Source organism: Homo sapiens (genome assembly GCF_000001405.40).
Source record: "Homo sapiens chromosome 16 unlocalized genomic scaffold, GRCh38.p14 Primary Assembly HSCHR16_RANDOM_CTG1".
In the NCBI taxonomy this organism is placed as follows: domain Eukaryota; kingdom Metazoa; phylum Chordata; class Mammalia; order Primates; family Hominidae; genus Homo; species Homo sapiens.
The window spans coordinates 1,698,412-1,714,893 of NT_187383.1; the positions used below are offsets into that span (position 1 = coordinate 1,698,412).

General features: G+C 50.7%; 1 long non-coding RNA gene across 1 annotated transcript in view; it reads left to right on the top strand.

Moving 5' to 3' along the window:
• The first annotated feature begins 6,406 nt into the window (after positions 1 to 6,406).
• Positions 6,407 to 16,482, top strand: part of LOC105379547 (paraneoplastic antigen Ma6E-like) — a 31,917-nt gene continuing 21,841 nt past the window's right edge. The window contains exons 1-5 of the long non-coding RNA XR_005647093.2: positions 6,407 to 6,459; positions 6,566 to 6,801; positions 6,969 to 7,061; positions 12,237 to 12,403; positions 13,267 to 13,356. This is a non-coding gene — a long non-coding RNA (paraneoplastic antigen Ma6E-like). The remainder of the gene's footprint in view (positions 6,460 to 6,565; positions 6,802 to 6,968; positions 7,062 to 12,236; positions 12,404 to 13,266; positions 13,357 to 16,482) is intronic.

The following is a 16,482-nucleotide window of genomic DNA, read 5'->3' on the forward strand; positions in this document are numbered from 1 at the left end:
GGTGAGGAAACCAAAGTTGGAGGATGAAGGTAACTTTTCTGATGTCGCGCAGCTGGTAAATGGCAGAGCTGGGACCCAACCCAGGTCTTTTTGACTCTAAAGCTAATGTTCCTTATTGTCCACTGAATCTGCTTTTATAACTTTGCTTGGTCGATGCTAGGACACTTTGTAGCTCACTGGCCATGCCATGAATTGAGTGCCGTGGTTCAAAGGCCACTGGTGATTCAGTCAAGGCAGGCTCGAGGGCACACAGCCATTTCCTTAGGAAATGGGGATGGTGGTTGAAAATTTCTATTAAAGGGTATATAAGCATTCTGAGACTTGGCTGGCCAGGTGTAGGGGGTTTGTTGGGAATTTAGGTGGTTTGCATGTTTAAAGGAATAAGACTGAGATTGCCAATTAGATGGGTTTTAGCTCATTTGAATATTTAATGTGGAGGCTGTGGTTTCCTGGGACATTTTTCCCACTGTGGAGAGTTAGCCAGCTTTTCTCTGTTGCTTTTTTCTTTTTTCTTTTTTTAATCGAGATGAAGGTGACAATCATCTTATGCTTGTCACCCAGGCTGGAGTGCAATGGTGCAATCTCAGCTCACTGCAACCTACGCCTCCTGGGTTCAAGCGATTCTCCTGACTCAGCCTCCTGAGTAGCTGGGATTACAGCCACCTGCCACCATGCCCAGCTAATTTTTGTATTTTTAGTAGAGATGGGTTTTCACCATGTTGGTCAGACTGGTCTTGAACCCCTGACCTCAGGCAATCCACCCACCTCCCTCCCAAAGTACTGGGATTAGAGGCATGAGCTACCATGCCCGGCCGCCCTTCTCTGTTTCCAGAGCATTTTGTATTAACTCCCTCTCATGATATCTTCCATGGCAGGCTGAATAATGGCCCCTCCAAAGTGTCCTCAACTTAATCCCCGGAATCTGTGACTATGTTCCTTTCCATGACAAAAGGGACTTTGCAGATGTGATTAAGCATCTTGAGATGGGAACTTATCCTATGTTGCCTGTGGGCCCAGTGTCCCATCACAGTGCTTTTTTTTTTTTTTTTTGAGATGGAGTTTTTTGCTCTTGGTGCCCAGGCTGGAGTGCAATGATGCAATCTCGGATCACTGCAACTCCACCTCCCAAGGTTCAAGCGATTCTCTTGCCTCAGCCTTCCGAGCAGCTGGATTACAGGTGCTCGCCAACATGTCCAGCTAATTTTTGTTTTTCCAGTAGAGATGGGGTTTCACCATGTTGGCCAGGCTAGTCTCGAACTCCTGACCTCGTGATCTGCCCACCTTGGCATCCCAAAGTGCTGGGATTATAGGCGTGAGCCACCACATCCAGCCTACAGTGCTCTTTTAAGAGGGACTCAGCAGTCAGGGGAGATGGCAATGCGATGGTGACTGAGTGTCTTAGTCTTTTTTGTATTGCTATGCAATATCTGAGGCTGGGTAATTTATAAAGAACAGGTTTATTTCTTAGAGTTCTGGAGGCTGGGAAGGTCAAGATCAAGGGGCCTGCTTCTGGTGAGGGTCTTCTTGCTGTGTCATCCCATGATGGAAGGTATCACATCAAGAGAGAAAGGGGGCTGAACTCAATACTTTTATTAGGAACCCATCCCCATGATAATTAACCCTCTGCTGAGATAACATTATTACTCTATTAATGAGGGAAGATCTTTCATGACCTAATCTCCTCTTAAAGGTCCCACCTCTCAACAGTGTTGCATTGGGGATTAAATTTCCAACACATGAACTTTGGGGGACACATTCAAACCATAGCACTGTGCAGAGATTGGAGTGATACGCTTTAAAAATGGAGGAAAGGGCCACAATCCAGGGAATATAGGTAACCACTAAAAGCAGAAAAAGGCAAGAAAACGGGTTTTCCCTTCAGAACCTCCTGAAGGAATCAGTCCTTTACAACTTGACTTTAGCCAAGTGAAACTGATTTGAGGCTTCTGAACTATAGAACAATAAGATATTAAGTCTGTGTTGTTGTAAGCCAATCAGTTCGTGGTAATTTGTTACAGCGGCCATAGAAAACTAACTGACTCACCAATGGGAGAAATCAGCTGCTGATTGAAGGTTACCAAACATCTACTTCCTTTCCTAACGTCACTTTAATTTTATCTTGGAGGAATTCTTTTCCCTACCCCATTAAGTTATGGGAGATGGGGCCAGGCATGGTGGCTTAGCAATCCCAGCACTTTGGGAGGCTGAGGCGGGTGGATCACTTGAGGTCTGGAGTTTGAGACTAGCCTGGACAACATAGTGAAACCCCATCTTTACTAAAAATACAAAAATTAGCCAGGTGTGGTGGTGGGCACCTGTAATCCCAGCTACTCCAGAGGCTGTGGCATGAGAATTGCTTGAACCTAGGAGGCAGAGGTTGCAGTGAGCTGAGATCGCACCACTGCACTCCAGCTTGTGTGACAGAGTGAGACTCCATCTCAAAAAAAAAAAAAATGTTATGGGAGAGGATGGTAAAGCTAAGTATCTTTTGCACCTACTCCCCAGCCCCACCACTGCAGAAGCTGAAGGGGTTCCTAGAGGCTTCTTCTGCCATGGAGCTGTTCCCACTGGCCCCTAGCTAGAGGTGGGTGTAGGACTTTGAAACATGAACAAATGGAGCTGGGATGGCAATGGCGGGAACAATATTGTGCTAATCTGAACTCTGCACTTCCTAACTTTGGCTCTTGGTAAATTACCTCAAATTGCTGAGCCTTTGTTTCCATATTAATAAAATGGGTGCGGTAAGAGTACCAACCTCTTCTATGCTGTTTGGAGGAGGCAGGTCATAAGGTACCTGGCATGTGGTAGGGGATTCATGAATGTTGGCTTCTATCATTAAGGGTGGGGGAGCCACATAAGTAGCCAGAGGGAGTCATAGAAAGTTCTTGAGCCAGAGAAGTAAGATAATCTTTTCAGCTTTTTGTGCAGCATAAAAGGCGGGTAATTTGCTTGCCTTTGACCAAGGAAATGTGGGACGTGCCAGGCCTGGGGTGAATGGTGGGAACCCAAGTAGAGGGATATTTCTCATTGGCTGAATTAACTGTGATTCCATTTTGCGGAGCAGCCAGGTTGCTTCATGGTGGACCAGCTGCATGCCTACATGATGGTGCCGTGGATAGCTCTTGTTTGTGCCAGCCCTGTATCTGATACCTCTTGTGGTAATTGCATCCCTATTTTTCAGAAGGAAGCATCCCTCCTCCCACTTTCTGGTTTTCCCCATGTCCTTCTGGAGGGGATGACCCCAACTGCTTCCTGAAGGGGCTTCATGAAAGCCAGGTCTGGCCAGGCTGGATGTGGTGATTGGCTCAGGCAGGGCATGTGGCCCAAACGGGTCCAGTGAAAGTCAGTCCTGGGACTTTGGCTGGGACTATTGGGGAACAGCCTCTGCTTTCTTGCGCAGATGTGAGTTAGGAGCTGCTCAGGCCACTATGTGGAAAGAATTGCATGAGAATGAAGTAATCAAAGGGAAGCAAGCACAGAGAGATTAGAGAGACTTATCTTGTATAAGTGCCTGTATCCAGCTATGCCTGAAGTGAGGTACCACCCCAGGCCTTTTCAGTCATGCTATCAGTTTTGTTCCTTTTTTCTGTTTTCCTCTTGGTGGAGTTATTTATTTTTTCCTTGTTACTTGAATAAGAAAAATACGAAACTAGAAGGCTGGGTGCAGTGGCTCACGCCTGTAATCCCAGTACTTTGGAAGGCCAAGGCAGGTGGATCATGAGGTCAGGAGTTTGAGATCAGCCTGACCAACATGGTGAAATCCTGTCTCTACTAAAAATACAAAAAAATTAGCCAGGCGTGGTGGTGCGTGCCTTTAATCCCAGCTACTCAGGAGGCTGAGGCAAGAGAATTGCTTGCATCTGGGAGGCGGAGGTTGCAGTGAGCCGAGATCGTGCCACTGCACTCCAGCCTAGGTGACAGAGCAAGACTCCATCTCAAAAAAAACAAAAACAAAAACAAAAAAACAAAACAAAAAAAAACCAGACTAGTAAATGCAACCATTTACAAATCCCAAGAGACTCTTGAAGATTCTTTTTGTTAGTAGGGAAAACATTCTCCATTTTTCTGCCAACTTTAGGGTTTTCAGAGAAGTTTGGGGGAGAGAAAGGAAAGCAAAGAGGTGGGAAGAAAGAGTCCTTGCAACCCCAAGTTGGGCGAACTCCTCCCAGCTACTTATACCACAGGGTTTTGGGAGCAGAGCCCCTTTCATTAAACTTTCAGGATTCTTGGATGGATAGGGTGGGAATTACACCAGTGAAACTCAGCTTTGTGTGTGCCAGGCATTGGGCCCTGGGATATGCAGTCATGTGTTGTATAATGACATTTTAGTCAATGACAAACCACATGTAAGTCACTGGTACCATAAGACGATTATGGAGCTGAAAAATTCCTATTGCTTAGTGACATAGCCATTGTAATGTTAGGGTAATGCATTTCTGTGTTTCTGGTGATGCTGGTGTAAACAAATCTGTGCTGCCAGTTCTATAAAAGCATAGCATGTACAATTACATACAATATATAATACTTGATAATGAACAACTATGTTACTGGTTTATCTTATGTTTTTGAGACAGAGTCTTGCTCTGTCGCACAGGCTGGAGTGCAGTGGCGCGATCTTGGCTCACTGCAACTTCTGCCTCACAGGTTGAAGCGATTCTTCTGCCTCAGCCTCCTGAGTAGCAGGGAATACAGGCACCCACCACCACGGCCAGCTAATCTTTGTATTTTTAGCAGAGATGGGGTTTCACCACACTGCCCAGGCTGGTCTCAAACTCCTGACCTCAAATGATCTTCCCACCTCAGCCACCTGAAGTGCTGGGATTACCCACATGAGACACTGTGCCCAGCCCTGGTGTATTTAGTGTTTTTCATAATTTTAGAATGTATGTCTTCTACTTACATTAAAAAATAATTAACTATAAAACAGCCTCAGGCAGGTCCTTCAGGAAGTATTCTGGAAGAAGAAGGCATTGTTATCACAGGAGAGGACATCTCCATGCATGTAATTGCCCAGGCGGGAGTGCAGTGGCACGATCTCGGCTCACTGCAACCTCCGCCTCCTAGGTTCAAGCGATTCTCCTGCGTCAGTCTCCTGAGTAGCTGGGATTGCAGGTGCACACCACCATGCCTGGCTAAGTTTTGTATTTTTAGTAGAGATGAGGGTTTCACCACGTTGGCCAGGATGGTCTTGAACTCCTGACCTCAAATGATCTGCCTGCCTCGGCCTCCCAAAGTGCTGGGATTACAGGCGTGAGACACCATGACTGGCAAAATTTTTAAGATACATTTCAGTAAGCTAAGGTGAATTTATTGAAGAAAAGCTTTAAAAAATTTTGGTGTAGCCTAAGCATATGGTGTTTATAAAGTCTACAGTAGTGTACAGTAAGGTCCTATGCCTTCACACTCATTGACTCATCCACAGCATCTTCCAGTCCTGCAAGCTCCTTTCGTGGTAAGTGCCCTATACAGGAGTACCATTTTAAATTCTCTTATACTCTATTCTTATTGTACCTTCTCTATGTTCAGGTACACAAGTACTTACATTGCGTTACAACTGCTTATGGTACATTCAGTAAAGTATCAGGCTGTACAGGTGTGTAGCCTAGGAGCAATAGGCCATACAGCCTAGGTGTTTAGTAGGCTATACAAGGCTATACAAGGTTTGTGTAAATGCACTTTGCTGTTTGCACAATGCTGCAGTCACCTAAGGAGGCATGTCTCAGAACCATCCCGTGATTAAGAGAGGCATGATCGTACAGTCATCATCTCCCTGAAAGCTCAGTCAACCCTGTGCAGTGCTACTGCCACACTCCCCTTTTGCACATGTAGAAATCAAGGATCTTTGGCTCCTCTGAGTGACTTGTTCAAGGTTTCTCAGTTTCCAAGAGATGGAGACGGGACTTGAATTGAGATTTCCCTTTCTTGAGAACCTGTGGTCCTTAACCATTAAAACCACTTAAGAGATCTTCTCTCTTGATCACTACCTACTAAGTGCTAGGCGCGGTGCTGAGGCGTTCTCTTGATTATGATATTGAGTCTTTAGATTTCGGAGAAACAGGCCGAGCGCGCTGGCTCACGCCTGTAATCTCAGCACTTTGGGAGGCCAAGGCGGGAGGATCACGAGGTCAGGAGATGGAGACCATCCTGGCTAACACGGTGAAACCCCACCTCTACTAAAAATACAAAAATCAGCAGGTGGTGGCAGGCACCTGTAGTCTCAGCTGCTCGGGAGGCTGAGGCAGGAGAATGGCGTGAACCCGGGAGGTGGAGCTTGCAGTGAGCCGAGATCGCACCACAGCACTCCAGCCTCGGTGACAGAGCGAGACTGTCTCAAAAAAAAAAAAAAAAAAGATTTAGGAGAAACAAGTTCCGAAGCCCTGACCCTAACACGCAAGTGTTAGTGGAGATGTGGGACTTCAACTCAGCTTCTCCGTTGAGTCGGCTGTCTCCGGGACGCAGGCACCTGCTTGCACACCTCCACGGTGGCGATCCCGCCCCCTTAGTAGCGTCCTTAGCTGGGCACTTCTTGCAGGGAAGCTCCTCTTGGCCCAGACCCTCTTCCTAGGCCCCGCGTGGTGGGGGAAGCGAAAGGGGCAGTGTGGGGAAGTGGCCAAGGGGTCGGGTCCGGGGTGGTCTGCAGAGAGGCAGGCGGCGGTGCCCAGCCGGGAACCACGCGCTCACCCGCGGAGTCGGACGGGCCCGGCGGGGGTGGGCGAGACACTGGGAACAGCGGCCAGCTCCAGAGGGGCGAGGCGGGGCGCGCGGGGAGGGAGGGGGGCGCGGCGAACGCGCGCGTGCGCGGTTCGTGTGTGGGCCCGCGGGGGCGCGCGCGGCTGGGGGGCAGTGAGGGTCGCCTCGGCGGCGAGCAGCACGGCGGGAACATGGCGCCCGGAACTGGCGCGCGCGCCTAGCTGGCGGGACCCTTAGCTCGAGGCGGACGCGGCCCGGACCCGGTGGATGTGGAGCAGTCGCCGCTGCCGGCGCCCAAGCCGACCCCAGGGCCGACCCCCGCAAGGAGCTGAAGGAGGTGGGAGCCCCAGTCGCCGCGGGCGTCGGCGCCGGTGAGTGCGTGAGGGGCTCGGGCCGGGAGACTTTCTTTGTGAAACTCCGGCGGTGGGAGCCAGGCCGGGCCTCAGCGGCTGAGGAGTGCCTGTGAGGCGGAAGGCGTCTGGCAGTCCGGGTTCCATCCCAGCCGCTAGCCGTCAGGCGGCGGGACCTGGTCCGCCGCCTGCCTGCCTCAGTTTCCACGGGAGTGTGTGCGGGTGTGTGAGGGTGTGTATGGGTGTTGGCCTGTGCACACCGGAGGGGGGGTCGGTATACTGTCAGCGCCTAATGCGCGCGGCGCCTCCCCCCTCCCCCCAGTCCCCGTGGGGCGGAACCTGGGGACTGGAGTCCACCGGAGTAGTAGGCGGCACCCGCGGGGAGACAGGTGTCCGCGCAGCCCGGGAGGCTCAGGTGCTACCTTTCCCTGGTGGGGTTTGTGAGGAGTGAGCTCTTCGTTCCCGGAGGCGAGCAAGTCTGTCGGTGGCTCATCACAGAGCGCTGTTTTGGAAAGCGTTCCACCCACCTCAGCTTCGTGCTGTGTTTGGGCCACTAGTCAGGGGGAAGGATGCTGAGCGACATGGACTTTAGAGGTGGGGCCCCCGCTGGACGGGATGGGTCTGGGCTCTCGAGCTTACCCCCACCCTTTCCTCCCAAACCCGTTAGAGCGTAGGAATCATTGGGAGCACCTGATAAAAATGCCACGGATTGTGGCTCACCTAAGCAGGGAAGCCGATTTGGAACTTAAACAAGCTCCCAAGTTGTGATCAGTCGAGCTTGGCAAGCACTGTTTGAGAGAGTAGGCTTCCCGCAAGCAGGAGCCGGTTTTGTGTATACCTCACCATGGCATCTTGGTACCTGGCATGGTGCCTGGCACATGGTAGATGATCAGAAAATATCTGTAGAAAGTCTAAATTATTAGGGAGAGTGCAGCATAGGAGTTCTTGAGACATTTTCAGGAGCTTCTTGAGATTAATATCTGTCAGATTTGTTTTACAGTATATTTTTCTCAGCTCCCAACTTTTGTGATTGTTTTTAATGCCATGTTTTCAGTATGTTCTAGGCAAAAGCAGGGTATATGTTGCTTAGTATACACTATCGACTAGGCCGGTTGTGGTGGCTCACTCCTGTAATCTCAGCACTTTGGGAGGCAGATTGCTTGAGCCCAGGGGCTTGAGGCTGTAGTGAGCCAAGGAGTTAGAGACCAGTGTGGGAAACATAGCGAGGCTCGTCTCCGCAAAAATTAGCTGGGTGTGGTAACGTGCACTTGCAGTCCCAGCTACTCTGGAGACTGAGGTGGGAGGATCGCTTGAGCTCAGGAAGTACAAGTTGCAGTGAGCCAAGGTTGTGCCACTGCATTCCATCCTGGATAACACAGCGAAACCCAGTCTCTTAAATAAGTAAATAAATACATAGATGATTATGTATACTCCAGCTAGGTTAAAATTAATTCTGAATCAAAATTCTAAATTAAAATATGCATGTTTCTTTGTCTTCATCATTTGAGAACACTAGGCTTTTAGGATTTCATTCCGTTGAGGCAGGTAAATATCTACATTTTTGACAAAGCAAATATGAATTACTGTTAATTCAAGAAAGGTGGGAATTTGCTTAAACCTGAGTATTTGTAGTCTCTGTGACTTTTTTAAATTTTAAATTTAAATTTTCTTTTTTTTTTCTATTTTTTTTGAGATGGAGTCTCACTCTGTCGTCCAGGCTGGAGTGCAGTAGCACAATCTCAGGTCACTACAACCTGCACCTCCCGAATTCAAACAATTCCCCTGCCTCAGCCTCTGGTGTAGCTGGCATTACAAGTGTGTGCCACCACGCCCAGCTAATTTATGTATTTTTAGTAGAGAGGAGGTTTCACTGTGTTGCCCAGGCTGGTCCCAAACTCCTTGACCTCAAGTGATCTGCCCACCTTGGCCTCCCAAAGTGCTGGGATTACAGGTGTGAGCCACAGCACCTGGCCTTATTTTTATTTTTTTGAGACAGACTCTCAGTCTGTCGCCCAGGTTGGAGTGCTGTGGCATGATCTCCACTCACTGCAACCTCCACCTCCCAGATTCCAGCGATTCTAATGCCTCAGCCTCCTGAGTAGCTGGGGTTACTAGACCCGGGTAATTTTTGTTGTATTTTTTTCGTAGAGACTGGGTTTCCCTATGTTGACCAGGCTGCTCTGGAACTCCTGGCCTCTAGTGATCCACCTGCCTCGTCCTCCCAAAGTGCTGGAATTACAGGCATGAGCCACTGCCCCCAGCCAATCTTTGTGATATTTTGAAATTGACGTTTATATTTTGTTCAGAGTCAAAGCTAAAATAGAATTGTTTGAAAATTAATATTTCAGGAACTATTTTTTAATTAAGTTGAATTTTATTTTATTAGTTTCATTTCAGTAGGGTTTTAACCTAAAAAATATATATATACATACACACATATATGCGTATATACATATACGCATATATGCGTATATGTGTGTGTATATATATATATGTATATATATATATATATATATATATATTTTTTTTTTTTTTTTTTTTCCTGAGACAGAGTCTTGCTCTGTCACCCAGGGTGGAGTGCAGTGGAATGATCTTGGCCTCACTGCAGCCTCCACCCTCCCGGCTCAAGCAATTCTCCTGCCTCAGCCTCCCAAGTAGCTGGAACTACAGGTGCCCACCACTACACCTGGCTAATTTTTATATTTTTAGAAGAGATGGGGTTTCACCATGTTGTCCAGGCTGGTTTTGAACTCCTGATCTCAAATGATCTGCCCTCCTTGGCCTCCCAAAGTGCTGGGATTACAGGCGTGAGCCCCCGTGCCTGGCCTAAAAAATATTTTTAAAGACAGGATCTAGCTATGTTGCCTCAGCTGGTCTTGAACTCCCAGTCTTGGCCTCAAGTGATCCTTCTTCCTCAGCCTTCTGAATAGCTGGAAGCACAGCTGTGAGCCAGCACACATGGCTTTTTTTTATTTCTAATAAAAAAGTTAATAGAGTTTCTTGTTTCACTGGACAAAATATGCATATATAGGAAGGAAGGACTTTTGGACTTGAGATTGTGCTGAAGAAGAAAAATGGAAAAATTAAGCATTTTAGTCTCAGTGTGTTATTTTTGTAGCTTATACAGATATGTCTTTTTAAAGTGTCTTTAAAAAGCTTTATTGAGATAAAGATAAATGAGATAAATGCACCTACCATGAAATCAACCCCTTGAGTGCAGAATTTTGTGGTTTATAATATGTTCACAGAATCGCACAAACAAGACAGGTATCTAGATACTTTCAGACCATTTTCATCAGTCCACAAGAAATCCCATACCCATTAGCAGTCATCCTTATTCCCTTTTCCCCTAGTCCCTGGCAATAACTAGCTTACTTTCTGTCTCTGAGTTTAGCTGTTCTGGAGGTTTCACAGAATGAAATCTTACTACATATGGTCTTTTGTGATTGACTTATTTCACTTGGCACAGTGTTTTCAAGGTTTATCCATGCTGTAGCGTATATCAGCACTTCACTCTTTTCTAATGCTGAGTAATCTTTTGAATGGATATACCATATTTTATCAGTTCCTCTATTGATAGGCACTTGAGTTTTTTTTCCAATTTTTGGCTATTATGCACAATGCTGCTGTGAACATTTGTGTACAAATTTTAGTGTGGATGTATATTTTCATTTCCCTTGGGTATATCCCTAAGGAATACACTATCCGGGTCATGTGATAATTGTTTGAGACTACAGGCACGTGCCACCACACCTGGCAAATATTTAAAATTTTTTTGTAGATAAAGGGTCTCGCTATTTTGCCCAGGCTGATCTTGAACTCCTGGCCTCAAGAGATCCTCTCACCTCAGCCTCCCAGAAAGTGTTAGCATTACAGATGTGAGTCACTGCACCTATAAAAGGGGCTCATACCTCTTTTTATGTATTTTTTTTTTTGAGACAGGCTTTCACTCTGTTGCCCAGGCTGGAGTGCAGTGGTGGGATCACAGCCCACTGCAGCCTGGACCTCTCTCCATATGATTCTAGCTTTGGGTGTCTTTCCTGTAGTTTCTATTATGTTGTGGTATGTTTCTTCTGTACCCGTTTATTTGAGGATTAATAGCATGAAGGGATATTGAATTTCATCAAATGCTTTTTCAGTTTCAGTTGACATGATCATACTGTTTTTGTCGTTTATTTGGTTGATATGATGTATCACATTGTATGTTGAGTGACCCTTGCATCCCAGGGATACATCCCACTTGATCATGATGAATTATCTTTTTAATGTTTTACTGAATTTGATTCACTGGTATTTCGTTGAGGATTTTTGCATCAATATTCGAGATACTGGCCTGTAGTTTCCTTCTTTGATGCCTTTGTCTGATTTTGGTATCACAGTAATAATGGTCTCATAGAACAAGTTTGGAAGTATTCCCTCCTGTTTTTCAAAATAGTTTGAGTAGGATTTGTACTAGGTCATTAAATTGTTTGGTGTGAAGCCATCAGCAGTGAAGACATCAGTTCCTGGGCTTTTCTTTACTGGGAGACTTTTTCTGATGGCTTCAATCTCATTACTTGTTACCAATCTGTTCTGGTCTTGGATGTTTTCATTGTTCAACCTAAGTAGGTTGTATGCATCTAGGAATTTGCCAATTTCTACTAGGCTTTCCAATTTATTGGCATATAATAGCCAGTTATGATCCTTTGAATTTCTGAAGTATTAGTTGTAATGTCTGCCTTTTTTAATCTGTTGATTTTATTTATTTGAATCTTGTCTCTTTTTTCTTAGTTAGCCTGGTTAAAAGTTTGTCAATTTTGTTTTGCTTTCCAGAAAACCAACTTTTCATTTCATCTTGTGTGTTTTTTCTTTCAATTTTATTTCTGCTATGATCTTATTTATTTTTCTTATTTTTGGTTTAGTTTGTTCTTACTTTACTAGTTATTTAAGATGTATTGTTTATTTGAAGTTTTTCTTTTGTTTGGATGGTAGGCACTTATAGCTGTAAATCTCTGCCTTTGTACTGCTTTCTGCATAACAAGTTTTGGTATACTGTGTTTTCGTTACCCTTTGTTTCATGAAATTTTTGAATTTCTGTCTTAGTATCTTCATTGACCCGCTAGTCATTTATTCAGGTGGGTAGTGTTTAACTTCCATGTGATTGTATTGTTTCCAAAATTACTCTTCTTATTGATATCTAGTTTTATTCCTTTGTAGTCAAAGAAGATGGCCACGGAGATAGCAGCGTGGTCAGAGTGGTGGGAGCTGGTCATCGGCGAGAGCTGCTCCATGTCTGGCTGCTGAGTGCTAGAGCCTGTGGCCCACTGGCTTGCCTCACTATGGTTGGTGGTGGCGGTGACAGAGACTGCAGCACGACCAGAGTGGTAGGACAGGGGCTATCCAGGGCTGCACCTTTCACAGTGTGGGGTGGGTTGGGGGTGCTATCCAGGGTGTCATTGCCTGCATTAGGGGTACTGGTTGGTAGCACTGTACAGGGCTGCACTTCCCATGGCAGGGAGGGTGGGTTATGGGCACTTTCTGGGGCTGCAATGCCCATGGAGGAGGACAGGTTAGGGCACTATCAGGTATACGCTACTGGCGGCATTGGGGGATGGAGGTGGGGGGCGCTATTGAGGGCAGGACTAGCCGTGGAGTGGGGGCGAGTTCAGTGCTATCAGGGGCTGCACTGCTGGCAGTGGTCAGCAGAGTTGGCATCCAAGGAAGGAGTGGTTCTCCTCTCCCTGACTCCACACTCCAGAGGGCGACCCACTCTTGGTCATACTGGAATGCGGCAGGCACGCAGCATTTGCGTGGGAATCCTGAGCACGGCAGAGCCCCCACACCCACCATGGTTCCTGGGCCTGTGCACTCTGGGTCTGTGCCTCAGAGGCTGCCAGGCACCCCTGGGGACACCACGGGGGACAGGGCCCTGTGTGTGGAGGCGTCTGGAACAGGAATTGGCACCTGGGTGCAGAGGGCTGGCTGGGTCTGAATTTTTCTGCTTCTCCTGCTCCCCGAGGAGTGCAGCCCCGGTGGGCCCAATGGTTCCTGTGGAGTGGGGAGCTGGGTGCTGTGGTGTCTCCAGCACCCTCCCCAGACCCCAGTTCCTGGCCAGCTTGGACCAAAAGGAGAGGCTGGACTTTGGAGGGTGGGTGTGAGTGCCTTTGCTGAAACTGGCCCCTGCCACCCAGTGGCCAGCATGACAAGTTGAGGCTCTAACCCTTCCACCCCTCACATCTTCCTCTAGGCTTTTCTGGCTTTGCCCACCCAGCTGCTCCATGCCAGGAGGAGGAGGAGACACCTAGAGCCTGCGACACCACGACTTGCCTCACTGCGGGTGGGTGGCAGCGACAGAGACTGCAGTGCGCCAGAGCGGTAGGAGAGCGGCCGCGCTAGGAGGGCAGGCGGCTGCAGCCAGGGTTGGGGGTCAGGCTTACAGCGATGGACGGGCTGCAGCAGTGGCCAGGTGGTAGGAGCCTTGTAGGGAAGGCTGGTGCATTGGCAATGGGCCTGGCTTTGCCCTGCATTGCCCTGTACCTGCCCTACTGTTACATGGACTGTCTCGGCCCTGTCCTGCTCTGGTCCCATCCTGACCCTGTCTTGGCCCTGTGCTACCCTGTCCCTGCCCTGGTCTTGCCCTGGCACTGGCCCTGCCCTGAACCGGCACTGGCCCTGCCCTGAACCTGCACTGGCCTGACCTTGGCTCTGGCCCTGGCTCTGGCCCTACCCCTTGTCCTGACCCTGGTCATGTCATGGCACTGGCCCTGCCAGTGGTCATGGTCCTACTCCTGTTCTGGCCCTGACCTGGCCTTGGACATGTCCTGGTCTTGCTTTGGCCCATCCCTGCCCTGGCCCTACCATGGGCCTGCCTTTTCTGCCTTCTCCTGGCACTGACCTTGCCCTGTCATGGCCCAGTGGTGCCATTGCCCTGCTTTACCCTGCACTGGTTGTACCTCGGCCCCGCTTGGTGCTGGCCACTCCCTGGACCTGCCCAGACCCTGCCTCGACTTTTGCCCTGCCCTCACTACGGCCTGGCCCTGGCCCTAGCCCTGGTCCTGCCATACCCCTGGCCCTGCCCTTATCCAGGCCCTGCCCCTGCTGCTGCCCTGGCCCTGGCCTGGAACCTGGTCCTGTCAAGGACCTGCCCTGACTCTGCCATGGCCCTGGCCCTGCTCTGCCTTGTTCCTGGCCCTGACCCTCTCCTGGCTCTGCACTGGCCTTTCCCTGGCCCTGAGCTGGCAGTGGTCTGCCCCTGGTCTGGCCATCACCCTGCCCTGCTGTGCTCTGGATGTGTCATCACCCTGCCCTGGCCCTACTCTGCCTTTGACCCTGCCCTGGCCTTACCTTGGCCCTCACCCTAGTCTTCGCTAGGCCCTGCTCTGGAGCTGGCCCTAGCACAGACCTGGCCCTGACCCTGGCCCTGGTCTTTGTCCTGCCATAGCCCTGGCCCTGAAGTGGACTTGGAGGTGTCCTGGCCCCGGCGTAACATGGCTCTGCATTGGCCTGTCCCTGCCCTGCCCCTACCATTGCCTTGCCCTGCTCTGCCCTGTCCCAGTACTGACCCGGCCATGCTATTTCCCTGCCGTACCCTGCCTTGGCTGTGCCCTGGCTCAGTTCTGGCCCTGGGCCCGGCCCTGCCCTGGACATGTTCTGACACTGCCTCAGCCTTGGCACTAGCCTGGCTCTTTCTTGGCATCAGTCCTGCTCTCTCTGTGGACCGGCTCTTGTCCTGTCCTGCACTGGCCATACCATGCCCTGCCCTGCCCTGCCCTGACTCAGCCCTGGCTCAGCCCTGGCCCAGCCTTGGCCTTGGCATTGCCCCTGGTCCTGCCATATTTCTTGCCCTGTCCCTACCCTGGCCTTGGCCCTGACCCTTACCTTGCTCTGGCCCTGCCCTTGCCCTAACACAGCCCCTGGCCCTGTCATGGCCCTGCCCTGGACCTGTCCTGGCCCTGTCCTGGCCCTGGCCTGGCCCTGGCCCTTCCCTGCTTGAGACCTTGCCCTGGTTCTCCTCTGGCCCTGACCCTGAAATGCCTGGCCCTACCCTGGCCTTGCACTGCTCTGGCCCTTGCCCTGACTCTGGTCCTGTCACTGGCCTAGCCCCAGCCCTGTTGCTGGTCTTATCATGGCCCAGACCCTGCCTTGGCCCTGCCCTGACACTGTCCTGGACCCTGGCTGTGCCAAGATCCTGCACTGTCCTTGCCCTTGTTTTGCTCCTGCCCCAAACCTGGTCCTGCCCAGGCCCTGGCCCTGGCCCTCCCCTGGCTGTTCCCTGGCCCTGCCCAGGTCTTGGCACTGGCCTGGCCCTGCCCTGCCTTGGCCCTATGCTTTCCTGGCCCTTCCTTGACGGCCCTGGTCCTGCCTTGGCCCTAGCCTGGCTTTGACCCTGCCCTGGCCCTACCTTGGCCTTCATCCTAGCCTTACCTGGGCACTGTGTTGTACCTGGCCATAGCGCAGACCTGGTTGTGGCCCTGGCCCTGCCATGGCCCTGCCCCAGACCCTAGCCCTGCCAGGTACCTGTCCTGGCCCTGCTCTGGGCCTGGCTTTGTCCCTGGTTCTTAGATGACCCTGGCCCTGCCCCTGCCCTTGTCCTTGCCCTGGCACTGGCCTTGGACATGTCCGTGGTCCTAACCCTGGCCCTGCCCTGGAGCTGCCACTGTCGTGGCCCTGCCCCGGCCCTGGCCCTGCCCCGGCCCCAGCCATAGACCTGCCCTGGCCCTGCCCTCCCTTTGGCCCTGCCCTGACCCCGCCTTGGCCCTAGCACATACCTGGTCCTATCTGTGGCATTGGCCTGGCATTGACCCCTGCTCCTGACCCTACTCCTGCCATGGCCCTTGCCCTGCCAATGACCCTGACAGCCCCGGCCCTGGCCCTGTCTTGGCCCTGGCCCTGAACTGGCCCTGCCCTGACCCCGGCCCTGAATTGGATTTGCAGGTGTCTTGTCCCTGATTTAACCTGGCCCTACCATGGCCCTGTCCCTCTCCTGGCTCTGTCCTGGTCTCATGCTGACCCTGACCCAGACCTTGGCCCTGCCCCAGCCTTGTCCTTGACCTGGCCATGGCCCTGCCTCTGCCCTGGACCAGCGCTGTCACTGGCATGGACCCTGGCCCTGGCCCTTTGCTACTTAAGGCCATACCCTGTCCCAGCCCTGGTCCTGACCCTGTCCTGGCCCTAATTTGGCCTGGCTCTACCCTGGCATGCTATTCTGGCCCTAGCCCTGACCCTGTCCCTGTCCTGGCCCTAGCCCCATTGCTGGTCCTGCCATGGCTCTTATCCTGACATTGCCCTTTCCTGGTCCTGGCCCTGGCCCTGTCCCAGCCCTGTTCTGGCCCTGGTCTGAACCCTGGCCCTGCAATGGACCCTCCTTGGTCCTACCCAGACCCTGGTTCTGGCCCTACCTCTGCCCTGGCTATACCTTTGCCCTGGCCTGGACCCCAGTACTGGTCCTTGTCCTGCCCCAGCC